Source organism: Homo sapiens, chromosome 1 (genome assembly GCF_000001405.40).
Source record: "Homo sapiens chromosome 1, GRCh38.p14 Primary Assembly".
NCBI lineage: Eukaryota > Metazoa > Chordata > Mammalia > Primates > Hominidae > Homo > Homo sapiens.
In genome coordinates, this window is record NC_000001.11 from 229,683,780 (window position 1) to 229,711,534 (window position 27,755).

At 43.5% G+C, this 27,755-nt stretch overlaps 2 pseudogenes, besides 2 other annotated features; both read right to left on the bottom strand.

Moving 5' to 3' along the window:
- On the bottom strand, positions 5,153-6,316 carry KIAA1191P3 (KIAA1191 pseudogene 3; annotated as a pseudogene).
- Positions 11,133-11,634: an enhancer, noted in NCBI's record as "OCT4-NANOG hESC enhancer chr1:229830659-229831160 (GRCh37/hg19 assembly coordinates)". NCBI's record gives its function as "activates a minimal SCP1, AML or CMV promoter by ChIP-STARR-seq in primed H9 embryonic stem cells {active_cell/tissue: H9 hESC(primed)}" and the evidence as "EXISTENCE:reporter gene assay evidence [ECO:0000049][PMID:30033119]".
- Positions 21,232-22,243, bottom strand: HMGB1P26 (high mobility group box 1 pseudogene 26; annotated as a pseudogene).
- Positions 23,413-23,940: an enhancer, noted in NCBI's record as "OCT4-NANOG hESC enhancer chr1:229842939-229843466 (GRCh37/hg19 assembly coordinates)". NCBI's record gives its function as "activates a minimal SCP1, AML or CMV promoter by ChIP-STARR-seq in primed H9 embryonic stem cells {active_cell/tissue: H9 hESC(primed)}" and the evidence as "EXISTENCE:reporter gene assay evidence [ECO:0000049][PMID:30033119]".

A 27,755-nucleotide genomic window follows, 5' to 3' on the forward strand; every position in this document is an offset into this window, starting at 1 on the left:
CATTGAATCAGTTTTAGTGTGTTGTGGTTTATTGTCATGTCTCAAGGTATTTCTAATTTCCTTGTGAGTTCATGTTTTATTCATTGATTGTTTAAGAGTATGTTGTTTAGGCCGGGTGTGGTGGCTCACGCCTGTAATCCCAGCACTTTGGGAGCCCAAGGCGGTTGGATCATGAGGTCAGGAGATCAAGAACATCCTGGTTAACACAGTGAAACCCCGTCTCTACTAAAAATACAAAAAATTAGCCAGGCATGGTGGTGGCTGCCTGTAGTCCCAGCTACTCAGGAGGCTGAGGCAGGAGAATGGCGTGAACCTGGGAGGTGGAAGTTGCAGTGAGCCGGGATCGCGCCACTGCACTCTCAGCCTGGGCAACAGAGCAAGACTCCATCTCAAAAAAAAAAAGTATGTTGTTTAATTTTCACATATTTGTGAATTTTCCAGTTTTCTTTCTATTATTGATTTCTAGTTTCATTCCATTGTGGCTGGAAAATATATCTTGTATAATTTTAATCTTTTAACACATTTCTTGCAGGACAGGTCTACTGGTAGCAAACACCCTCAGCTTTTGTTTGTCGGGAAACATGTTGATTTCTCCATAGTTTTGAAGGACAGTATAGAGTTCTTCATTGACTATTTTTATTTATTTGTTTATTTTCATGGATCATATGTAAGACTTCAGGTGATTTTTTTCTTTTCTTTTTTTTTCTTTTTTTCTTTTTTTTTTTTTTTTTTGAGACGGGGTCTCGCCCTGTTGCCTAGGCTGGAGTGCAGTGGCATGATCTTGGCTCACTGCAACTTTTGCCTCCCAGGTTGAAGCAATTCTCATGCCTCAGCCTCTGGGATTATAGGCATGCACCAACATGCCTGGCTAATTTGTATTTTTAGTAGAGATAGGTTTTCACCATGTTGATCAGGCTGGTGTTGAACTCCTAGCCTCATGTGATCCGCCCATCTTGGCCTTCTAAAGTGTTGTGGTTACAGGCATGAGCCACTGTGCCTGGCCATATTTTTGCTTTCAGCAGTTTAAATATGTCCTCCTACTTTCTTCTGTTGGTCATGGTTTCTCATGAGAAATTGGCTGTTAATCTTATTGAGGATCCCTTGTATGTGACTAGTCACTTCTCTTTTGTTGCCTTTTTTTTTTTTTTTTTTTTTTTTTGAGTTAGAGTCTCACTCTGTCACCAGGCTGGAGTGCAGTGGCATGATCTTGGCTCACTGCAACCTCTGCCTCCCAGGTTCAAGTGATTCTCCTGCCGCAGCCTCCCAAGTAGCTGGGACTACAGGCATGCACCACCACACCTGGCTAATTTTTGTATTTAGTAGAGATGGGGTTTCACCATATTGGCCAGAATAGTCCTGATCCCTTGACCTTGTGATCTGCCTGCCTCGGCCTCCCAAAGTGCTGAGATTACAGGTGTGAACCTCACCTGGCCTCTTTTGTTGCTTTTAAGATCCTCTTTTTGTCTTTGGCTTTTGACAGTGTGCTTATAATGTGTCTAGGTGTGGGTATTTTGGTGTTTGTCCTAACAGTGTTCATTGAGTTTCTTGGATTTGTATATTTATATCTTCTATGAAAGTCAGGAAGTTTTTTACCATTATTTCTTCAAATATTCTTTTGCTCCTTTTTCCCTTTTCCTTCTGGAACTCTCATAATGTGTATGTTTGTCTACTTGACAGTGTTCCACAGGTCCCTTAGACTCTACACTTTTTGCGTTCTTTTTTTTTTCTTTTTCTCACACTTGATGACTTCAATGATTCTATCTTTAAGTTGGCTGATTCATTTTTCTGCCTGCTCAAATCTACTGTTGGACCCTATAGTTAATTTTTTCATTTCAATTATTTTATTTATTTTCAGTTCCAAAATTTGTCTTGTTCTTTTTAGATATTTTTTATTTCTTTATTGATAATCTCTTTCTCTCTCTCGTTCTCTCTCTGTTTTATAGAGTTGGGGTCTCACTCTGTCACCCAGGGTGGAGTGTAGTGGTACAATCATAGCTCAGTGCAGCCTCAACTTCTGGGCTCAAGTGATCTTCCCACCTCAGCCTCCCAAATAGCTGAGATTACAGGCATGTACCCCTGTACCTGACTTCTCATTTTGTTCATCCATTGTTATACTGATTTCCTTTATTTTTTTTGTGTCTTTCTTTAATGATTTGATCATACTTTAAACCGTTTTTTTAAAACCTTTGTCTAGTAACTCCAATTTCTGTCCTTCCTCCAGGATGGTTTCTGTCAATTAACCTTGGTCCTTTGAATTAGTCATATTTTTGTATTTTTTTGTATGCCTTGTGATTTTTCACTGAAAACTAGACATTTGATTACTACAATGTGGTAACTCTGAAAATCAGATTCTCCCCTTCACCAGGATTTTCTGGCTCCTTTTCTTTTTTTTTTCTTTCTGTTATTGAAGTCTATAGTAGCCTGTTTGTTTAGTGACATTCCCAAGCTATATTTCAAATACTATATTTTTTGTTGACATGGTAACTAAAGTCTCTGTTCCTTAGCTTGAGTTCAGCTAGTGTTTTGACGGAGAATTCCTTGAATGCTAGGAGCTGTCCTACTCTTTGCAAATTGACTCTGTGCTTGGGATTTCCTTCAACTCCATGCTAGGCTTGCACTGTGTCTAGGGATCAGTCTAAGGTGAAAGCTTAGGTTTTCTCAGGTCTTTTCTGAGCATGCATCTTGTTCTGGGCATGGACATGTCTGTCAAAATTCCCCATTTACTTTTGAGTGTCCTAATTTCCCAGAGAAACTCTACACAGATTTTGCCTTAGGTAGTCTGTTATATGTTGACCTGTAATCTTTTCTCCCAGGCATCTTAGGGTTGTTATTTTGGTTTGCAATATTTTTTAGCTTTTTTTGGCCTCAGTCCTGAGTTAGGCAAAGCAGAGAGAAAATCAACTTGCATCAATTTTTCTGTGTTAGCCCCTATACAGGTTAGAATAGAAATGTGGCTCAGACAAATGTGACATATACAATAACTTGCAAATAAAGTCTGCTCTGATCCCTCCAGAATTGGGGAAATGGTCTTGCACTGGGAACTTGGGCCATTGCCTCATCAGCATCAATCACTACTGCTTTCAGATAGCTGTGACATAGGAGAGGGGTGGGGCAAAGACATCTAGAATCACCTCAAAACCTTCTACAGGTGTGTGTGTGTGTGTGTGTGGGTGTTTGTTTGTTTGTTTTTGAGACAGGGTCTCGCCCTATTGCCCAGGCTGGAGTGCAGTGGCGCGATCTCAGCTCACTGCAGCCTCTGCCTCCCAGGTTCTAGTGATTCTGTTTCAGCCTCCTGAGTAGTTGGGACCACAGGCACGTGACATCATGCCCTGCTAATTTTTGTATTTTTAGTAGAGATGGGGTTTTGCCATGTTGGCCAGGCTGGTCTCGAGCTTCTGACCTCAAATGATCTGCCTGCCTCAGCCTTCCAAAGTATTGGGATTACAAGTGTGAGCCACCACGCCCAGCCCTTCTACATTTTTTTTTATTTTTGGAAGTAGTAAGGATTTTTATTGTCAAACAAGATGTCATAATAGAAGACACAAATAAATTAATTGTTCTGATAATTTTAGACTCCAGGGCCTCTCTATGGAAAGGTCAGCTTCTTATGCAGACAAGATACTATCCAAAACCAAAAACGGGTATTTGAGACGGTGTTCAAGACAATGACTGAACTTGTCCACAGTGAGGAGAAATAAGAAGGCAGTTTCCCTATTTCCTTTCCTCAGTGAGGTTATGTGTTGCATAAAGGGAGGTGGCTCATTTTGGTGAAAAATGCTTTCATACAGAAAAGTTTGAATTCTTTTACCTCCCCTTGTAGATGTTTCAGGCTCTGAACAAGGAAATCAAAATACGGTAACACTGGCTTCACATGAACCTCAAGACTATAATCTAACTGTACCTACCATCTTCTTTACTTTAGAAAAGTTTAGGCTGGGTGTGGTGGCTCATGCCTGTAATCCCAGTACTTTGGGAGGCCGAGGTGGGTGGCCTCGTCAAGAGATCAAGACGATCCTGGCCAACATGGTGAAACCCTGTCTCTACTAAAAACACACAAAAATTATCTGGGTGTGGTAGCACTGCCTGTAATCCCAGCTACTCAGGAGGCTGAGGCAGGAGAATCACTTGATCCCGGGAGGCAGAGGTTGTAGTGAGCCGAGATCACACCACTGCACTCCAGTCTGGTGACAGAGCGAGACTCCGTCTAAAAAAAAAAAAATGTTTAACGTCCATTTACCTATACCAAATCAGTAGACTGAATTTTCTCTCTTAGTAAGTTTTTAACCAAATTGGAGTTAAATTAATCTCATTTTAAAGTGCAAGGAAAGCTTTGCAAGACTAGTGTTTGTTCTGTGGCATAGAAAGAGGAGCATGCCTCCCCTGGCACTGACTTAAGAGGCCCCACATGAAGAACTGGCTGCAGGACAGTGATCCATTAAGTCTACCAAAAAGCGGGGGGACTCAAGGTTCAGCCTAGAAAGAGGGTCCCTGCCAAGTCTGGCTTTTACCTGTACCCAGGTCCCAAACAGATCTTGGGTTCCCTAAGTGACAAGGCTGGAGCACAGTGCCAGTCGTCAAGAGGGCCAGAGTCATCTCAGCGAGTCAGTGAGCATCTCTTAAAGTTCTTATCTAGGGTAAATGATGAAAAACTAGGTAATGAGGTCCCCCACACATCACTGCCGAAGTGATATAGTCTAGCTTTAAAGCAGTACAAAATGGCTTCTTCCACACAACAAGGGCAAGCTTTGTACTAATGTTTCTCAAACACCAATAATGTCTCCAGCTCTGGCCTCTAATTAACAGGTTTTTAAAAATATACCTTTCTGACCAGGCATGGTGGCTCATTCCTGTAATCCCAGCACTTTCAGAGGTCAAGGAGGGCGGATCACCTGAGGTCAGGAGTTCAAGACCAGCCTGGCCAACATGGTGAAACCCTGTCTCTACTAAAAATACAAAAATTAGCCAGGCGTGGTGGTGGGCACCTGTAATCCCAGCTACTCAGGAGGCTGAGGCAGGAGAATCACTTGAATCTGCGAGGCAAAGGTTGCAGTGAGCCAAGATTGTGCCACTGCACTCCAGCCTGGGCGACAGTGCAAGACTCCATCTCAAAACAAAACAAAACAAAACAAAACATATATATATATAGAGAGAGAGCCAAGTTAAAAGGGGAGTGGGGCAAGAAACCCTCTTTACCAGAGGACTGGAAGAGAAAGCACTCTAGAAGCCAGTGGGTGTGAGCACATTCAAGTCACCGGGTTTGAGATGATGGGTCCGTGGCAGCTGTTTATTCCCTTCCATCACTGGGATGTCCATCTTGGGCGGCTTCAAGTTTGCTGGATCTCTAGTCATGTGGTTGGCCTGGGCATGGATCAGTTCCACTGGAGAGGGCTTCTGGGCTCCTTGGTAGGCCTGGGTGGCAAAACTTCCAGAATCATCCTTCTGAAGGGATCTCGGTCCAAAGAGGCTCCACTTATCTGACAAGTTTCTGTCCTTATCTCCACTTCCAGAATCCATGGTGCTGGGATTTGGGCCAGGTAAAGCTGTGGAAGAACCAGAAGTGAACCAGCCTCTGGGTCTCTGCTCAGGGGAAGAGTGAGGAGTGCAGCTTGGGGCTGACTGGGCTGATGCAGGCTGCCTCTCTTCTCTTGTTCTCTCTCCACTCTGTAGCTTTAGTTGGTGGAGCACTTCCGCCACTCGAAGGTACTTGGTCTCCTCTGCGGTGAGGCCCTTGTGTGGTGTGTAGCCAGCACCTCTCAACCCTGCCTGTCGCCCAAAATGCTGAGTACTTTCCTGGGTCTGTTTTGTGAACAGAGAATTCATGATGATATGGGTAGCTTTAGACTTCACCACTGGGACTGTGTCACACTGTCAATGACAGGGTCATGGCAGGGGCGGGTAGGCTGGTCTCTCCTTCCTCCTCCTTGGTGAGGCACTGATACTTGCACTCTGGAATCACTGGCTTCCAGTGGACGCTGCCCGTGTCCGATGGAGGAGTCATGGGCACAGGGTCCTCGAGGGCATCATCATAGCTGGATGCCCAGCAGTTTATCCTGATGGGCAGGGACATCTTTCCTAGAAGCCCACCCAGCCTCAAGAGCAGGCACTTCTGGTTGTGTTGAAGCCAGTGAAAGACTGGGACCCAGGTGCTTTTTCCATATATATAGAATTCTGAGCTGAGTCCCTCCCACCACAGTGAAATGATGTAATGACTAAGCTGACAGATGTTAATGAGGAACACAGTGCAGCAGCTGCAAATTAGCAAAGCTTCCCAGGAAGAGTGCATCCAGAGGTTCTGCTATCCTGCTGCTGCTGCTGCTGGGCTGCCTGCGGCCTGGAGTCCAGCGCTAAAGAGGTTCTGAGGGCCCACGTCTCCCGAGAGGCTGTGACGCAGTCTGGACTGAAGGCATGGTGAGAGCAGTGGCAACACCGAAGGTCTCCAGGACCCAGCAGACAACACTGCCCCCCTGCTATGGTTTTGAAGTGTCTTTTTCTGTACTCAGCCCTTACGTGGTTGCTATAAACATTAGACTATTTTTTAAAGTAGTTACAAATGGTTGGTTTGTTTGTTTGTTTGTTTGTTTGTTTTTTGAGACGGAGTCTCGCTCTGTCGCCCAGGCTGGAGTGCAATGGTACGATCTCGGCTCACTGTAACCTCTGCCTCCCGGGTTCAAGCGATTTTCCTGCCTCAGCCTCCCGAGTAGCTGGGATTACAAGCACCCCCGCCACCGACCGCACCCAGCTAATTTTTGTATTTTTAGTAGAGACAGGGTTTCATCACGTTGGCCAGGCTGGTCTCAAACTCCTGGCCTCAAGTGATCCACCCACCTCGGCCTCCCAAAGGGATTACAGGCGTGAGCCACTGCAACCTCCACCTCCTGGGCTCAATAGAAACATTTTTTTTTAAGTTTCTGCTGTAAAAAAATATATTTCTGTTGAGCCTAGGAGGTGGAGGTTGCAGTGAACCAAGATTACACCACTGCTCTCCAGCCTGGGTGACAGAGTGAGACCCTGTCTCCAAAAAAAGAAAGTTTCTGTTGGGGGAGAAGAGCTTGGAGGGTCATACTCTGCCATTGTGCTGACGTTGCTGTATTTGTTTTTACATTCAAACTTTCTTTTGTAATAAAATATATCTTGAAAAGCATCAGTGGTGGTGTGGCTTTATTCATTTTTAGTTTGAGAATATGCACATTTTCTTCCTAATATTTGGCAGTTTGAAATAATCAAAAGGCTCAGGACCCAGTTAAGAGAGTTTATTCAAGTGCACTGTCAGGGTGGCCATCTCAGGACACGTGGACACCAAAGAATGGTGATTGGTGCTCCTGGTGTCCTGGTGTGGGGAAAAGTGAGGGCTGCTTATGAGGTCAAAAATGGAAGTGTTGAATGGAATCACAGCATTTTCCATAGAGAGGCTAACATGCAGATATAAGATTTGATTGGCTACTATCGATTCCACGCTAAGGGGGTGGCTTAACATCCTATTGTAGGGAGATAACAACCACAAGGTCTCCAGCATCATTTTGTGTAGGTTTGAATGAAGAATGGGAAGTCTGGTTGGCATGTAACATCTCAACACAAAAGTCAGGAAGCAATGGTCATGCACCAGAGGAAAAGAACGGTCATGTTATATGACTCAGTTTGCAGGGCTTAACTTTTATTCTTAGCACAGTACATTTGGAAGGTGCTAAAATTTTATCTCTTTTCACATACGGCAGGCGGATACATCAGTGTCCCAGGCGGGGCTGGCTATGCTTTAGAGTACTGGCTGTCCCTGTGTTCTCTACTGTCTATCAAGTGGTACCCAATCTCCTACCACAAAGGGCTCGAGGTTTTCAGCCAGACAACAGTGTGTGTGCCTTGATTTGCAGCTCAGATAAATATCTTCTCATAGTCAGTTCAGCTGAAAAACATTTATTGAGTACTATATGTCAAGTACGGCAGAACACATGGGGGTATAACTGAGGACATAGAGGATCCATGCTAGAGGAATGTACTTCCAGTGAGAGAACAGACGGTAGGCAAACAATTTTAGGACAATGGGGAGCTGCCATGATGGAGGCATGTAGATGGTCCTGTGGGAGCACAGAGCAGGAACTTCCTGGAACTGAGCATTTTTGTTTGTTTGTTTGAGACAAGGTCTTACTCTGTTGCCCAGGCTAGATGCAGTGGTGCCATCACAGCTCACTGTAACCTCCAACTCCTGGGCTCAAGCGATCCTTCTGCCTTAGTGTCCTGAGTAGCTAGGAATACAGGCATGCACCACCACACCTGGATAATTTTTAAAATTTTCTGCCGACAGAGGGTCTCACTATATTGCCCAGGCTGGTCTCAAACTCCTGGCCTCAAGAAATCCTTTTATCTTGACCTCCCAAAGTGCTGGAATGACAGGAGTAAGTCACCGGCCTCAGCCCTGGGAGCTGAGTCTTGATGAGAAGTTAGCTAAATGAAGAAGGAAGGGCCACCAGATGAAAAATTCATAACAAAGCCTGAATGAAAACTCGGGATTTCGGAGTCCTGGTCCAGTGTTTTTCTTACTTATCTGGGTTTTCAGAATCTCGTCTAGAAGAGACTCATATTCTTGTTTAATCTGGCAGGGCTTTTTTTCTTGTAAGGTTTGTTGGGAAATGAGGTATTTTGACCTGCTTGACTGATTCACCTACTAAAAGGATTATATAGTCACTGCTCTAGAAAACCACTTCCTCAGTGAGAATGTGGTCCCGTAGATTGTGCGTCCTGGTTTTTCACACATTATTATCATTCTTTTTTGTTTGTTTGTTTCAGACGGAGTCTCGCTCTGTCACCCAGGCTGGAGTGCAGTGGTGCGATCTTGGCTCACTGCAACCTCTGCCTCCCAGGTTCAAGCAATTCTCATGTCTCAGCCTCCCAAGTAGCTGGGACTACAGGCATGCACCACCATGCCCAGCTAATTTTTAAATTTTTAGTAGAGACAGGGTTTCGCCATGTTGGCCAGGCTGGTCTTGAACTCCTGACCTCAGGTGATCCACCCACCTTGGCCTCCCAAAGTGCTGGGATTACAGGCGTGAGCCGCCACACCCAGCCTATTATTTATTATTCTAACCTGTGTTCCAACACACTTCAATGACCTGCTTGTTGAATGGCTTTCAGAAGGGAGGCTTTGCCTTTCTTCCTGGGATAGAGTCATCTGAGTTTGTCTTGGCTCAGTTCTAAGTGACTGGTCTCTTTACCTGTCATCCCCATTGCCAGCTTAGATCTAGGCAGCATCCCATGAGACTCAATCCTTCCTGGAATCAGATGAGTGGACAGTGGGGTGGGCCCTGCCAGCCCAGCCAAACAGTCAGATCCTCTCCCTGAGGATCTGGAATAGGGATGCTTCCAGTTCCGGGGACTGACTTGATTAGCTATAGGTTCCAAGTACAGTTATGTAGAGTCAAGTTTCATGGTGAGGCTTACTTAGACAAAGCAATAAGCAAACTGAAGTTGTGAAGGAGCAGAAACCCTGAACAGCAAGGGGAAGCCAGCCCATAGGGAGGATATGGGAGCAGGTGTACAGAGAGAAGCCAAGATGAGAGATGATGTGGCTTGAGAAACGGTTGCCATTCATTCTCTGGTTCCCTGGAGACCCAGCTGCACTTCCTACAGCTGGGTTCTGTTACATCGCTCTGTGTCTTGTACAATAAACCTTTTGCTTGAGCTGGCTTGCGTGGGTTTCTGATCCTTCAACAAAAACTTCCTGTGATTCTAGCAGTCCCAAATCGATTTCTCCCCAGATCTTTCAGCTGACATGATTTCTTCCCCTTTTGTTACCTAGTCTATGAGAATGAAGGAGATTCTGTCGGCATCAGTGATTTTCTTTTTCCAGCTATTGCAAAGGTATTTTACATTTGCTAGGGGTTAGAGGCAATGACTCGGTACTTTCTCCAACACAGGGGGAGCAGATTCATCGGTGAAGTCAATGATGGCCACTTACAAGCAGTTCCACATAAGCAGTGTATTGTAACACAGAAGTATTGAATAATTGAAAGCATAACCATACTAATAGGATCTTTGCCTGGCTACATGATAGCCATGAGAAATATCAGACCACGAGCCAGGGAGACAAGGTGCATAGTTCCAACCTTGCCTCTAATTGGCTGCGTGATTAAAGGCATCAGGGGCGTTCAGTGCACCTTGGGGTTTCAGCGGCCTCCTCCCCTTGCTCACAGGCTCAAATGAGACAAGGTATATGAAAGCAGTTTGAAAAGGTACAGAGTGCCTTACCCTGAGATATGTGAAGGACTATATTTAGTTACTGGGAGCTGGAAGGGCCTAATGTCTTTCCCACATGTCCTATCAAAGACACATGTGCAGGACAGCTGGTGAATACAGATCGGTGAAGTGCTGACCCTGGCTGTGCTTTGGAATCACAGTGGTGCTTTACAGACCCAGAGGGGCCGCCTTACCCAGTCTCTCTGAATCTGAAGCTTCTTGAGCAATGCTTGGCAGCCAGGGCTGAGAATCTCTTCTGCTGCCCTGTCTCCAAGTTAGGCGCCGAACTCTGGGAGTCAGCAGGCCTATGTTGGCTTCTGACGCTTGGATGTCCCGCCCAGCCCCTGGAGGTCAGAGCCCAGTGAAGAGACAGCAGGAGCCAGAGCCCCAAGCTGAGCACAGACACTTACTCATCCTCCCCCTCGCTGGCCACACTAATGGGAATAGTTGGGAGAGAAACTCTTCAGTGCTAACAGGCTGCAGCTGCTGTTGTGGCAGCAGCCAGGTGGTGAGTCGGCACAGTCGATGCCTGGCTTAATTTGCAGCAGGAAGCGGGGCTGGGGACAGTCTGCTTCCTCTGCCTCTCTTTGTCCCCAGCAGAGCCCTGCCTCCTGGTGAGCGGTGCAGCTGGGAGAGGTAATTGGATTTGATGAACATCTAGCTCTATGGAGACAGAACACTTTAGGTTTTCCCATGAAGGTCAAAGGCAGGCCAGATAGTTTTAAGATTTGACCTCTGGCATCTGAAAAGACAAATAATGGAATTTTTTTTTTTTTTTAGTGAGTTTGTGGTTGAAATTTTGGCTATTTCAAATGGGTAGGAGGGTACACAAAATGACTGAATTTAACCCCTGAGAATAAATTCTGGACTGATCTAGAATCTTCTGGAGAATGGCCTGGCCCTTCCCACCTCTCTAGCCTCATGTCTTACACCTCACGGATACACTGGCATCTTCCAGGCACGGGCCCACCCCACACTTCCACTTCTGGAAATGTGTTTTTTTCTCTGTATAGGTTGACTTTATCCTAACTACCCATTTTGCTGGGCCAACCCCTGTATATCCTTCCAAACTCAGTTTGAGACACTTTTCCAGGCAGGTGCTCTGCCTCCTCCCTGTGTGAATTTGCATCATAGAAGATCCTGTGTGCAGCTTGCTTGGATCCCTTCTGCCATGCACTGCTGCAGAGGGGGCAAATACTGAGCCGCTCCAAGTCACATTCTCTTTGCATCTAAGATGGGACTAGTAATACCCATCCCTTAATGATGTGGCAAGGATGAAGTTGACTCATTTGTACCCAGTGTTTAAAATGCCATCTGATAGTTAGTAAATGTTTGAATAATTGAAAGCATAACCATACTAATAGGATCTTTGCCTGGCTACATGATAGCCATGAGAAATATCAGACCACGAGCCAGGGAGACAAGGTGCATAGTTCCAATCAACAAGTGATTGCTACTGTTCCTCTTCTGGGATGACAGGTTTCCACATCTGCCTCCGGGGACTAGCTCAGGCCCTGCACTTAGTGTGGGTCCAGTAAGGGTCTGACAAGGACTACTTGAGGGAGAAAGAACCTGATAAGTTTCTTAAAATCATCAATAATTATAATCCGTTTTTTTGAGCTGATTGTCATTTCTGCCCAATTATTAGGCAGTGCTGTAATGTATGCAAACATAACATTTACATAATACTTTCTGTGTAAGTGGCATGTTCTAAGTAGAGTAACTTAATATAGTAACCCTATGAGCAAGTCTTATTAACTTTAATTTCATCATTTGCAGTTTGCAAATGAGGAGCAGCCTGGTTCCGGAACTGGTGGCTCTGATCGCTACACCACAGTGTAGTTGCTAGAAATGCAATGAAAGCTCATCCGAGTGAAAAAGGCCCAGCCAAGCTCAGGCCCCTGGAGGCCAGAATGGAGTGGGCTTTGGTCTTGGATGGGAAGCACGTCTGTCAGAGAAGGCAGCACAGTTCAGGAAAATACCCCTGGCCAACATTCTCAGATGAAGCCCCTCAAAACAAGCAGCTTAGGAAGCTCACAGGGCAGAGGAACAAGTGTGCGGGTGGACAGGGCTGGGCAGGGAGAACAGAGCCTTAGTGCCCTCCCCTGGAGGAGGCACAGAACCTCCCCACATGGTCCTCCCTTAGCCTCAGTCACCAGCTGAGAGAACAGCCTCTTAAAATTGCACCCTCTGCCTGCCTTTGTCTCCCATTTTGTGACCCTGAGAAGTCAGGCATCTCTCTCACAGTGTCAGTGTGGCTTTAGAAACGCTGTTTTGTGTCCTTGTTGTTGTGTGCACTTTTTGTGGACACCTATGCCCTGGAAGGTGCCCCAGTCGCATGTTGTATTAACTGCGTCTTTTTATTTTCTGTATTCTGATGCTTTGCTGTTTTAGGGCCTTGCTGTCTTGGCGGGAGTCCCCCCTCCCAGGGCTAATTACTAGAGAAAGTCAAGGGCTGGCCTGAGAGCGCACCTTTCATATGCAAACCAACCAATCTAGAATGCCTACCAGCGACACTTCCTCTATTGCACTTACACTCCTGACCAGGCCATGATTCCCTGCCCTCATCACCCCAGGGCCAGGTAGCAAACAACTAGGCACAGTCCCTATACCCCAGAGCTTGCTGAAATTACTCAGACAAGCCAATCCTCAACCCGCTTGCCCTGTTTTGCATGCTCTTTCCCTTGGAAACCACAATAGAGAGCCTTGCCCATGGTTTTCCCCTCTCCCTCTGTCTTCAACCAACTCTAGTGCTTGCCTGTGTGCCCCGTGTGGAGGAGTGAGTGCCTCCTCCTCTTGGTAATTGCAACAAGCCACCTTATCAATGGCAGTCTTCTGATCTGTTGGCATCATCAGACCTGAATAATGATAAAATCTACATTTCAAAACATATATGTATTGCCCTAGAATTGCGTTTGGGAAAAACTCAAACTGTTTCTGTCAGGCCTCTGAGCCCAAGCCAAGCCATCGCATCCCCTGTGACTTGCACGTATATATATGCCCAGATGGCCTGAAGTAACTGAAGAATCACAAAAGAAGTGAAAATCCCTGCCCCGCCTTAACTGATGACATTCCACCACAAAAGAAGTGAAAATGGCCGGTCCTTGCCTTAAGTGATGACATTACTTTGTGAAAGTCCTTTTCCTGGCTCATCCTGGCTCAAAAAGCTCCCCCACTGAGCACCTTGCAACCCCCACTCCTGCCCGCCAGAGAACAAACCCCCTTTGACTGTAATTTTCCTTTACCTGCCCAAATCTTATAAAACGGCCCCACCCCTATCTCCCTTGGCTGACTCTCTTTTCGGACTCAGCCCGCCTGCGCCCAGGTGAAATCAACAGCCATGTTGCTCACACAAAGCCTGTTTGGTGGTCTCTTCACATGGACGCGAGTGAAAGTTTCTTCTCTCTTACATCACAACAATTTAATGCGACCCAATGTGGAGGGGATTTCTTCCCACCACCAAGCAAGCCATCGGTTCTGTAGTGGACACCAACTGGGTGTCCTCCAATTCAATTCCCACACTGTCTACCTGGAGAGAGCATCAGACCCCACAGGTTGAGGGCTCAGTCCCCAAGACTGCCCCCCACCCCAGACACCAGTCTCAAGTCTGGGCTTCTGGAACTCTGACCCACCAGCTTCAAGTTGGGGTTCCCATGACACCTCTTTGAGTTCAGCTAATTTGCTGGAGCGGCTCATAGAATTCAGGGAAACACTAACTTATGTTTAGCAGTTTATTATAAAGGATATTACAAAGGAGAGATGCGTAGGGTGAGGTATGGGGGAAGGGGCACAGAGCTTCCATGCCCTCTCTGGGCATGCAACCCTCCAGGAACCTTCATGTGTTCAGCTATCTGGAAGCTCCTAGAACCCTGCCCTTTTTGGGTTTATGAAAACTTCATTAGGTAGGCATGATTGATTAAGTCATTGGTCATTGGCCATCAGCTTGACCTTCAGCCCCTCTCACCTCTCCAGGGGTTAGGGGGTAGGGCTGAAAGTCCCAGCCCTCTAATTATACCTTGTTCTTTCTGGTGACCTGACTGGGCCCCATCCTAAAGCTATCAGTCAACATAAGCATACAAAAATGCATCACTTTGGAGATTCCAAGGATTTTAAGAGTTAAATGCCAGGAAACGGGATAAAGACCAAATATATATTTTACAATGTCACAAGTTGTAACCAGCACCAAGGTCAAAAAACATTACCAGCCATTTCCAGAGCATTTTGTTCTTTTACAATCCAACAAACATGTATTAAGTGCCTTCTATTCCTCATGCCTTTACCGATTCACTGCACATTTGACAATCATGTACTGGGTGTCAGACTCTGCTTGGGAGTCACTGAAGATACACTGGTGAGCAAAACAGACACAGTCCCTGGCTTCACCAGGCATGTCTTTTAGTGAAAAAGACAGTTATTAGTCAAATAATCACACAAATGAATTTGCAATTGCAAATGATGGTAAATGCAAGGAAGAAAAATCAAGATAGCTAACATTTATCGTGCATTGCTCTCACAGGCGGCTCTGTGGATTATCTCCTTTAGCCCACTCCCTCCCTTAGGCCTATTAGGTGAATCTTGTTAATATCTACAGTCTACGCTGGAGGAAACTCAAGTGAGGCCTTGCCCAAAGGCCCCCAGCTGGAGAGGTAGAGCTGGAATTGAACTTGACTGGCTGATGTATGTCTCTGCATATATTCACCACGCTGCAAAACTGCCAAGCCCTACTGAGCCACCAGCTCTGAGGGTATAACTCACACCAGGGCTAGGCATGGTGGCCTGTGCCTGTAGTCTCAGTTACTTGGGAGGCTGAAGCAGGAGGATCACTTGAGCCCGGGAAGTTGAGGCTACAGTGAGCTATGATCACATCACTGCATTCCTGCCTGGGTGACAGAGTGAGACCCGGTCTCAAAAAAACCAAAAAACAGGCCAGGCGTGGTGGCTCAGTCTATAATCCCAGTAGTTTGGGAGGCCAAGGTGGGTGGATCAGGAGTTCAAGACCAGCCTGGCCAACATGGTGAAACCCTGTCTCTACTAACAATACAAAAATTAGCCAGGCATGGTGGCAGGTGCCTGTAATCCCAGCTACCCAGGAGGCTGAGGCACCAGAATCGCTTGAACCCAGGAGGCAGAGGTTATAGTGAGCCGAGATTGAGCCACTGCACTTCAGCCTGGGCACCAAAGCAAGACTCCATCTCAGAAAAAAAGAAAAGAAAATCATAAGGAAGATAAAATATATTTACTCTTCACTAAGTGGAAGTGGATCATCATCATCAAGGCCTTCATCCTCATGTTGCGTAGGCTGAGCAGGAGGAGGAAAAGGAGGGGTTGGTCTTGCTGTCTCAGGGGTATTGGGGGAGAAGAGGTGAGGAGGTGGAAAGGGAGGCAGGTGAACTTGGTATAAATTTTATTGAAAAAAAATTCACATGTAAGTGGACTTGCACAGTTTAAACCCCTATTGCTCAAGAGTCAATTGTATTCCACTTTTCTATCTATCAGGTAGAGCTGCTTCCCAGGGTGAGGGTGGACACAACCTAATTCAGGATGTGTCTCTCTGAGGGCAGTGTGGTGCCCTCAAAGGAGGGAAGGCTTTAATGGGGTCGAATCCTTGCTTTGCTACTTACTGGCTGTGTGACCTTAAACAAGTTACTTAACCTTTATGAGCTGGTTTTGGTGTTGGCCCAGTGCGATCCAATATTAATCTTGCTGGGTTGTGTTAGGATTCAGGTTCATGTGCAGCTAGACCTTGGCAGACAACAGGCCCTCTCTTCCTCATTTACAGGGCATGTGTTCTTCCTACAGGCACTGGACCAGAACTTGAACAGTGAAGCCAACTTACTCTGGGCAGCAGCAAACAGACCCTTCATGACGTCACAGGGATGCCAGAGTCTTTTCTGTATCTTCTTTGTCCTGCTTTTCTTGCTCCTCTGGGACTCCCATGCAAGGCCAGACTTAAACAGGCACCAAAGACACAGCCTCCAAATGATTGCTGTGCACAGAACCAAGTGACCTCAAATACCCTCATACTTTGTTGGCCTCAATTTTGTAAACATATGTACAAGATCGCGTATCCCTCAGGACTTCTGTGAGAAGACAGTCTTCCTAGCGCGAGGTATTTTCAGCAGATGTGTTAATGCTAAGAAAACAAAAAAATTTCCACACCGATGGGAGAGAAGTATGTATTGGTTTTATGCCAGCTCCCCACCCTCCAACTGTGACTTGTAGGAGAGGAGTGAGCTTGGCAGAGACTAAACTTGCTCCTTCATTTTTGATGCCATTTCTTTGATTTTTTGGCTTGACCCAACAGCATCTCAGGAGTTCTAACAAAATAAACAAACAAAAAACCCCACCATGTAGAAATTACTTGAGATCATGTAATAACTAAAATCTTTTATATAAGTTTTAGTTCGTTTTATTAACTATGTCAAAAAAATAACAGGAACAGATACCATATAAATGAATAAATGGTTCTTATACATAGGCTCAGCCCAGACTCAAGGGACAAACACATCTTCTCCATATATATGTAGGGCACACTTCCTGGTCTTGACAGATGCTCCACAAATCACTTTATGCTGGTTTTGCCCAGGGTGAGGAGTTATATTTGGAGTTTCTTCCAAGTCTCCAGTTCTGTGACAGAGACAAATCCCTGCCCTTTCAAGTATTGAACTAGAAACATGTTTTATCTCCGTTTAGGGCAAGAGACAGGACCCAAGGAAGATACCTTCTTTTTCCCCCTAGACCTTTGGATTGATTTTGCTAGCTCCCAATACATATTGCCGTTTATTGTAAATGCTGGAGTTGCCCTGGCCTCGGCCTTCAGATGGTGGTGGTGTCCATGGTGGTGGGAAGGAGAAAAATGTGCTGAGTTAATCTCTGACCACATTGTGCTAATGACTGGTAATGGAGGTCAGCTGAGCTGAGGGTACCCCAGAGACCATTTATCTTGCTTATCAGAGGGTATCAAATATGCCAATTTTTTTGTGAGGGCCTGGGGATGCTTTAACCAGGAATCATATCTTTGGACATTGGCTTTTTCTGTTTTTAATCGAAAAGTAAAAAAATGAAGTCCATCACAGGTCTTATCTTTCCCTCTATGTATTTGGATGTCTTGAACCAACTTCTCAGTTATATGACTAGCAATTACTGTCACTCACCTCACAATCAATAATGTTCTCTCCTTTTTTTTCTTGTTTCTTAAAAAATGCTTTTATGAAATAGTAAGTAGAGTTTCCACAGTTGCTTAGGATACTGCAAGAACATGTCACTCCTACCTGACAAGAAAAATCCAGGTAATCTACAAAATAATAATTTTTTCAAGGTTATAGGTTATAAAGCAACCAGGGGACTGAATTTCAAATGTGCTAAATCAAAGGTGTGGCTTCACAGTCTTGTGCTAAGACCTGAGAAAGAGAGAAAGGTTAGACTACTCAGTCATGCATAAAGCTCTTTGAAGAGGTTGAGGTCCTCCAGGTTAAGGGTCTTGTGCTGGGGAGAGTAGCGTGGATTATCCAGGTGGACCCAATCTAATCACATGAGTGCTTAAGAGTGGAGAACATTTCCTGGCTGCTGAGAACCAGAGAAATGGCTCCATAAAAAGGACTCTGCCCACTGTTGCCAGCTTTGAAAATGGTGGAAGGGAGTCACAAGCCAAGGGATGTGGATGATCCCACTTTAAATGTAAAGACATATAGAGGATAAAAGTAAATGGATGAGAACAGTAAACAAAGCAGGAGTGCTTATATTAACATCAAAGTCAAATCCCAAACCAGGAATTTTACCAGGGATAAGAAGAGCCTTTCTATAATGATGGAGGGGCCAATTCCTTAAGGAGCTATAACAACCCCAAGTGTGTAGATATGGAAAAATACAGCTCCAAAATACATAAAGCAAAACATGATGGAACTAAAGAAGAAATAGATATATTCACAAGCACAGCTGCAAATGTCAACATTCCATTCTAAATGACTGATAGAACAAGTACGTAAAAAGAATCAATAAGAATATAGAAGACTTGAATGACACAATTGTGGGAGCTGGCCTCCAAGATGGCCTTCAGTGGTATTCATACGTATGTGTAATACCCTTCACATCATATTTGAAATTCTTGCAAAATTTCTTTTATTTTTAAAATTAAAACAGTTATTCTATTTTTTAACATTTATTTATTTGTGTTTATTAATTGTTTTAGAGACAGGATCTCACGATGTTGCCCAGGTTGGTCTGGAACTCTTGAGCTCAAGGGATCCTCCCATCTCAGCCTCCTGAGTAGCTGGGACTATAGGTATGCACCACCATGCCTGATTCAAAATTTTGTCTCTTGTTCTTCACACCTCATTCTATGTCACTTCTTCATATTTATTCTTCATTCCATGAATTCCCTCTTCATCTGTGTCTCATCTGCTGTTAAACCAACATTGAGTTTTTAATTTCGATTATCATGTTTTGGCTGGGTGTGGTGGCTCACACCTATAATCCCAGCACTTTGGGAGGCTGAGGCAGACAGATCACTTGAGGCTAGGAGTTCGAAACCAGCTTAACCAATATGGCAAAGCCCCTCTCTACTAAAAATACAAAAATTAGCTGGGCATGGTGGCACATGCCTGTAGTCTCAGCTACTCGAGAGGCTGAGGCATGAGAATCGCTTGTACCAGAAGTTGCAGTGAGTCGAGATTGTACCACTGCACTCCAGCTTGGGTTCCAGCCTGGGCAACAGAGACAGACAGACTCCGTCTCAAAAAACAACAATAAAAAATTATTACGTTTTTCATTTTCCAAATCTTGGCCATATAACATTTTTATTCTTTAAAAATATTGTATATATTCTTTTATGTTCTATGTCTAATTTAAATTTCAGAAGTCCTTGTGGATTTGATTTTGTTGTTTTTCCTGGGTCCATCTCATGGAGATTTGTTTTCTTGGTATTAAGTGATATTTTTTGTGACTTCATATTTGTTGGAATTTTATTTGTGGGAATTCTTTGTGTCCCCTGATGAAAGTAGTTTTCTTCAGGAAGGATATGTATCTGCTAGATGGGCACTATTTTTTTTTTTTTTTTTTTTTTTAGATAGAGTCTTGTTCTTGTTGCCCAGGCTGGAGTGCAATGGCGCGATCTCGGCTCACTGCAAACTCCGCCTCCCAGGTTCAAGCAATTCTCCTGTTTCAGCCTCCCAAGTAGCTAGGATTTCAGGCGCCAGCTACCACGCCCAGCTAATTTTTGTATTTTTAATAGAGATGGGGTTTCACCATGTTGGCCAGGCTGGTCTCGAACTCCTGACCTCAGGCAATCCACCTGCCTTGGCCCACCAAAGTGCTGGGATTACAGGCGTGAGCCTCTGTGCCTGGCCTAGATGGGCACTATTAACTCAGAACCTGGTTTTTAAAAAGACTCAGTTTGAAGTTTTTCTAGCCATAAAAATAGTATGGATTTGGGCTACAAAACTATCTGAGAACTACCATGAGGTTATGAATCCCTGAGTTTTTTTCTCCCATCCATATAATGCCAATTTATGAGACAGCAATTTTCTTCATAGTCTACTCTGGGTGAGGGCAGGCTTACTTCTGATTTGCTCTTGCACTGAGAGTATACCCCTTTGGGATCCTAGCATTATGATGGTATCTCTCTCTCTCTCTTTCTTTTTTTTTTTTTTTTTTGCTGTTTAATAACAGTAATAATAATAGTCATTTGAGAGTAGTTTGAGGTTTACAGAAAAGTTGCGAAGAGTACAGAGAGTTCCTGCATACTCAGTTTCCCCATTAAGATCCTTCCATTACCTTGCACAAGTGCTTTTAAGCCATCTCTCTCTCATTTCTTTCTTTCTTTTTTTTTTTTTTTGAGATGGAGTTTCGCTCTTGTTGCCCAGGCTGAAGTGCAATCCCAAGTAGATGGGATTACCGGCACATGCCACCATACCGGGCTAATTTTTGTATTTTTAGTAGAGACGGGGTTTCACCATGTTGGTCAGCCTGGTCTCAAACTCCTGACCTCAGGTGATCCACCCGCCTCGGCCTCCCAAAGTGCTGGGATTACAGGCGTGAGCCACAGCGCCCAGCCATAGCCTTCCCTTCCCTTCCCTTCCCTTCTTTCCTTTCTTTCTTTCTGAACAGTAAGCCTTTTATTTATTTATTTAGGTAACATGAATAAGTTCTTTAATGGCAGTTTCTAAGATTTTGGTGCACCCATTACCTGAGCAGTGTAAACTGTACCCAACGTGCAGTTTCCTATCCCTTACTCCCTCCCACCCTTCCCTGAGGCTCCATGGTCCATTGCATCATTCTTAGGCCTTTGCATCCTCATAGCTTAGCTCCCGAAGGTATCTCTTAGTACATTTCCCACCCTAGGCAGCCCCTGGTCTTTGTCTCCTGTGTCTTATGTCCCTTGGGGTATAAAAACAGGAACTTTGGTAAGTTTCTATCTTATTATGATGGTTTCTTATTTTTTCTGTATTTTAAAACTTTTCATTTAAGCTAATTTCTCACTTACAAAAAAATTAGAGAAAATTACCATATACCTTTTCCCAAATTCCATAAACATTAATATCTTACATAATTACATTATGATGATCAAAATCAAGGCATTGATTTTGATAATACGATTTTCTGATTTATGACTGATTTGTATTTTATTATTAGAAGTTTACTTATAATAATTATAAGTAAGTGGTTCCGTATGTATGGACTCCTTCTAGATTCTTTTCTTGTCTTTTCTTGTCTTTCTTCTTTTGTTTTACTATTACCAACAATGATGAAATGAATGAATACACAGCTAAATGAATCTTATTTTATTAACAAAGAAAATTGTATTTACTTAGAAGCATTTAGAATGTCAACAAAACAAACTGCAACTTTTTTTTTGTTTTGCGGCTACAGAGTGGTATTCATTAACAGAACAACAATTATTTCATATAAGCTGCATCAGAAACAACCGAAGATGAAAAAACTACCATCCCCATACGTTCCTAATTTGTGCTGTGCACCAACAACAACCTGCTTGAAATATCCATGCCAATTTACAACCCCATACTGTATCAGGCAAAGTTAGTGGCTATTGAACATATCACCAAGACAGGGCTATCTAAAGACACATTCAGTAATGTGTTAACTATACAAAAAAAAACACTGTACAGTTAAGAATAAATCTTACACAGCCTCCCATTTCAATGTCTTGCTTTAAAAGGAGTGAGTTGTGTACAGGGGGGTTAAATGCTTTAAAGACAAGAAAAAGAAAACTGTGCTAGAACCAACTTATTCACCATCGTCATCTTCTTCATATTCACTTCAACTTCTTCCTCCTTGTCCTTTTCATCTTCCTTCTTTTTCTCACTTTTTCAGCTTGACGACTCCCTTTTTTGCTGCATCAGGCTTTCCTTTAGCTCAATATGCAGCAATATCCTTTCTGTATTCTTCCTTTAGCTTTGCAGCCTTCTTTTCATAAGGCTGCTTGTCATCTGCAGCAGTGTTATTCCACATCTCTCCCAGTTTCTTTGCAACATCACCAATGGACAGGCCAGGATGTTCTCCTGTGATTTTGGGGTGATACTCAGAACAGAACAAGAAAAAGGCTCATGGAGGCCTCTTTGGTGCATTGGGATTCTTGAACTTCTTTTTTCTCTCCCCTTTGGAAGTTATATGGCTTTTCATTTCTCTTTCATAACAGGTCTTGTCTGCCTTTGCCATGTCTTCAAATTTTCCTTTCTCGTTAGCATATATGGTCTTCCACCTCTCTGAGCACTTCTGAGCAAACTCTGAGGAGTTGACTGGAGCAGCTGGGTACTTCTTCCTATGCTCCTCCTGACAAGCTTGCACAAAGAATGCAGATGATGAAATTTTTGCCTCTCGGCTTCTTAGGATCTCCCTTTACCATGTTTAGTTATCTTTCCTCAGCGAGGCACAGAGTTGCCCAGTGCCTATCTGGCAAGTCCAGCTCTCCCTTGTCCCAGTGTTGTCTCTATGGAGCTCAACGTACTGCAATGGCTGTGAGAGCGGGAGCCAGACGCAGCCTCTGTACTTTCTCTGCTCTGTAGCCAGGTACATGAATCTTTAGGTACTTGTAGAAACTTACTCATAGGGTAAATTCATAGAATGGTATTACTGGGTTAAAATGCTCCTACATAGATAAATATTGCCAACAGCATCATCTTTTTATTTTAATTTTAAAAACTTACATAGAGTAAAATCTACTTTTTTGGTGTAAAGTTTTATGAGTTTTACATGTGCATAGAATCTTGAAACTAACAGCATAGGCAGGATACAGAACAATTTCAACACCTTAAAGAATTCCTGGCCAGGCTCAGTGGCTCACACCTGTAATCCCAGCACTTTTGGAGGCCAAAGCAGGTGGATCGCCTGAGGTCAGGAGCTCCAGACCAGCCTGGCCAACATAGTGAAACCCTGTCTCTACTAAAAACACAAAAAATTAGCTGGGCATGGTGGCAGGTGCCTGTAATCCCAGCTACTCAGGAGGCTGAGACAGGAGAATCACTTGAACCTGGGAGGTGGAGGTTGCAGTGAGCCGAGATCATGCCATTGCACTCCAGCCTGGGCAACAAGAGCAAAGCTCTGCCTCAAAAAAAAAAAAAAAAAGAATTCCCTTCTGCTTTCCCTGTGTAACCAGACTCTCTTGTCCCTGGCAACCACCTATCTGTTCTCCGTTCCTATATTTTCACTTTTTCCAGAATGTCATGTTGCGGGAAGTCAGGGACCCCGAACGGAGGGACCGGCTGAAGCCATGGCAGAAGAACATAAATTGTGAAGATTTCATGGACATTTATTAGTTCTCCAAATTAATACTTTTATAATTTCTTACGCCTGTCTTTACTGCAGTCTCTGAACATAAATTGTGAAGATTTCATGGACATCTATCACTTCCCCAATCAGTACTCTTATAATTTCCTATGCCTGTCTTTACTTTAATCTCTTAATCCCGTCATCTTCGTAAGCTGAGGATGTATGTTGCCTCAGGACCCTGTGATGATTGTGTTAATGGCACAAATTGTTCGTAAAGCATGTGTGTTTGAACAATATGAAATCTGGGCACCTTGAGAAAAGAACAGGATAACAGCAATGTTCAGGGAACAAGGGAGATAACCATTATGTCTGACTGCCTGGGAGCTGGGAAGGACAGAGTCATATTTCTCTTATTACTGAAAACGGGTAAGAGAAATATCACTGAATTCTTTCCCCAGTAAGGAATATTAATAATTAACAGCCCTGGGAAAAGAATGCATTCCTGGGGGAGGGGGGGGCCTCTAAAATGGCCGCTCTGGGAGTGTCTGCCTTATGCAGTTGTAGGAAGGGATGAAACACGCCCTGGTCTCCTGCAGCGCCCCCAGGCTTGCTAGGATTAGGAAATTCCAGCCTGGCTAATTCTAGTCAGACCGGTTCTCTGCTCTTGAACCCTGTTTCCTGTTAAGATGTTTATCAATGACAATGCGTGCACAGTGGGACATGAAACTTCATTAGCAATTCTAGTTTCACCCTGGCCTTGTGACCTTGCCCTGCCCATTTGCCTTGTGATATTTTATTGCCTTTGAAGCATGTGATCTCTGTGACCCACACCCTATTCATACACTCCCTCCCCTTTGAAAATCGCTAATAAAAACTTGCTGGTTTTGTGGCTCAGGGGGCATCACAGAACCTGCTGACATACGATGTCTCCCCCGGACACCCAGCTTTAAAATTTCTTTCTTTTGTACTCTTTCCCTTTATTTCTCAGACTGGCTGACACTTAGAGAAAATAGAAAAGAATCTACGTTGAAATATTGGGGGCTGGTTGCCCCTATAATGTCACATAAGTAGAATCACACCATATGCAACTTTTTGGTTTGGATTTTTTCAGCTAGCACAATATATTTGAGATTCATCCATGTTGTGTGTATGAATAGTTTGCTCTTTTATTAATTAGTAGCATTCCATTGTACACGTGTACAACAGTGTGTTTACTCATACACCCATTGAATAACATTTGGATTGTTTGACGCTCTTGGCAATTATAAGTAAAACTGCTATGAACATTCATAGATGAGTTTTTGTGTGAATGTAAGTTTTTTTGTTGTATCTTAAATAGTATTTTAAGTACCCTGATTTGATCATTACACATTCTATGCATGTACCCCATAAATAAGTATGTCATAAATCATATGTAGCCCATAAATATGTACTATTACATGTTTGTAATAGTACCCCATAAATCTACCCCAAAATATGTACTATTATATATATATATATATACATTACTATGTATCAAAATTAAAAAATTAAAAAAATTTTTGAAGTAGATTTGTTGGGTGATACAGCACACACACACACACACACACACACACACACACACAGATATGTCACATTTTAAGAAACCATCCAACTGTCTTCCAGAGTGGCCGGACCATTTTGCATTCTCATCAGCAATTGGTGAGAGTTTGTATTGCTCTGCATGTATTCCAACACCTGGCATTATCAGTAATTTTTTTTTTATTTTGGCCATCTTAATAGGTGTGTAAGTCAAACTTTGATGATATTTTGACCAAGCATGAAAGAGTCCAATTCATTTTCTGTTGGTGGTATTTATGAACACTTCTGAGGGTGCTTCAGAGCTCAGTAGAGCTTCGGGATGTTATCAGGGATAATCTAAAAAAGGATTCCATTATCAATTAAGAGTTTAGGACTCAAGAAGTTTTTGTTTTTAATTAAGTAAGTTTCCATGCTACAAGACTACCCAGTATCTTTAATATGCCTATGTGCATAATGACTGTCCACAGGAAGAGACAGTAGGCAGTTTTCCCCTGAAATTTGAAGATGGAACTCTTTGGCCTATGGAGCATCCCAAAGGTTGAATATTGGGCAAAACTCATTTAGGAAATGCTGCTGTCATTCACAGAGAGAAGAAAAATAATCTGTGGATACTCAGTAACCATGCATTAACTGAAAACAGTTTTCTTCTCTACAAAGTGAACTTTTTCACTTAAGAAGTTCTCCTTCTTAATTTATTGATCCTCTTAAGAATAAGGTTTCCGTGACTCTTCTGAGATATCCCATCACAGAACTGTGATTAACTTAAAAAGACCCAAGACATTGAGATTTCTTGACTTCCTGCACAGGAGGCTGGTTCTTCATTGAAATGATATTTTCTTTCTTCCATGGCTGTCCCTCTGAGCAGAGCCATATTTTGGCATTGTGAGCTGTTCTCAATCACCAAAGACCATAAACTAAGCCAGGAAGACTTTGACCCATTGTTTTACCTCTGTTCTTGTACTCTTTACTGTCGTTAATTAACATGAAAGTTCCATGTTTTCTCCTTCCCCACTGGTCCAAGTGCATGGCCTGCCCTGAGGGACGGTGCGGTGAGCCTGCTCATCAGAGTACACATTCCCTGTCTCCAAGGATGCCTCTGGTATATTTCCTTTATCTGGAGTTGAAATTCTTCTCTTTGGGCTTTAAGCCCTAGTGGTGGTTAGCAGGCTTGGTCAGAGGTAGGAAGATTTTACTCTTGCTGGTGATACATCAAGAGGAAATTAATAAAGGATTCTGAACAGTGCTCAATCGACCTGAATCTAGAATTCTTGCTGAGATTGGGCTTTTAGGAACCCTGATGAAGAGATGAACTCAGCTCTCTGTTTCAACTGAGCTCGTCAATACAGCACTAAGGCAATTTGGCCAATATAACAACCCACCGTGAATCACTACAAAGCTGAAATTGTGTCCCTAGAGAGCTCACTGAAATGGACATGAGTATTTCATGAGAAAGGCTAGTTCACTGCAGAGGCAAAAGGTTCATCTAAATCAGTGTTTGTCGTTGCTGTTATGCAGCCAGCAAAGTGAGGTTTTCATTCTGTTTTGACTCCAGCTGTTTTCCTTCAGGGCTGCTCCTGCTCATGTGTCTGAGGCTTTCCCTGTTGGAGGCCTTTGGCTACCTCATCCCAAGGTGCACCTTCCATAGACGGTCTATCAGGCTGGCCAAGGGAAAGCAATTCTTGTACCCAAGACCCTGTCACCTCTTGCTACGACTCTCCTTATCCCTTGCATTTCTACCTGGTCCTGAAGGCCAACTGCTTCCTCTTTGACATCTCTTTTTTCACTCCATAATGATTCCTCTTCTAGCCTTTTATCCACATAGAGGGCCCTACCTGTGTGCCTGAGATGGAGTTGTCTGGGTTCATATGAGGATTCCCTACCTAGGATCCTCAGCTGGTATTTCTTCAAGAATGGCCAACAGACCAACTGCATCAGTACCACCTTAGGGTGCCTGTTAAAAATACAAATTAGGGGGGCCCATGGGATCATTTGCAGGAAGCATGGAATCTGCCTTTTAACAAACACCCAAATGTTTCTCTTTGCATTCGAGTTTTAGAACAATTGGCCCAGCCCTTCCCACCTATAGATCTGCCTGCTGGGCATCACCTCAGCTCATTTCTGCTTCTCTTTATAAGAAAGTCTTTTATATATTTGCAGATTAGCCCCATCTGTCTCAAGCCTACAAACTCATACTAATAAACGGCTTGTTGTAATTTTCTTTACCGCACTCCCATCCCCAAATAAAATCCCATCAATTTTTTATATCTCTGTTTTTTTTCTAGTTCTCATTGAAAGGGACTTACACTTATAGGCATGAGAAAAATAAAACAGTACAAAATTACTTAGAACACTAGAAAACTGAACAAAACATGTGAAACAACAGCGTTCAGACACTGGACTATGGACTGCCCAGGACTGTGACCCCTGAGAGAAGGGAAGCAGGGAGGGCAAGTCGGATAATCCTTCAGTCTTGCTGCCTGGAAGCAGTTTCTGAACTGCAGTTCAGGGAAGGGGAATTCAAACAGATTCTGGAAATCTCACCAAATTGAGACAAAATAAATCAGAGTTCAGGGAGGTCAAACAGCCAGAATGTGGGGCAGAGAACAGACAGGAGAGGATTTCACAGAGAAAGAATTCCAGAAATCTGAACAGGGGTCCCTTGAGTCTGAAAAACCAGTCACTATGTGGTTAGGATAAAACTCCACAAGGTGGAGCAAAGAATAATTTCCAGGAAAAGAACAATTACCAGAGAGCTGTAAGCCAAAAAGTTTCTAGAGCTTACACAGAAGTGGGAATCATTTGAATGTCCACCAGCCACAGGGTAGGGAGACTTCATTGAATTACAGAGATCCCACTCAGCAGAGACCCCAGAAGGGTCAAGTGTTAGGAATGCGACTAAATTAGTCCTAGAGTAAAGGCTACTCTAGATCTGCTTTATAAGAGCTTAAAAACAAGCTCTCTGTGGGCCACACTGATCCTCAAGTAATTTAACTGCCTGTCAGAACAAACTCCAACTTGTAAAGGAATAAAATAATATCTAGCACTCAACAACGAAAGAAATGCCTACATCAATAAAAAAATTACTAGATTTATAAGAAATAAAAAAGTGCCACATAACCAGTAAAAAAATCAGTCAATAAAAAAACTTTGAAATAATAAAGAAGATGAAATTATCAGATGAAAACATTAAAACAGGTATTATGAATGGGATTGATATGCTAAAATATTTAAATAAAAACATAAATATA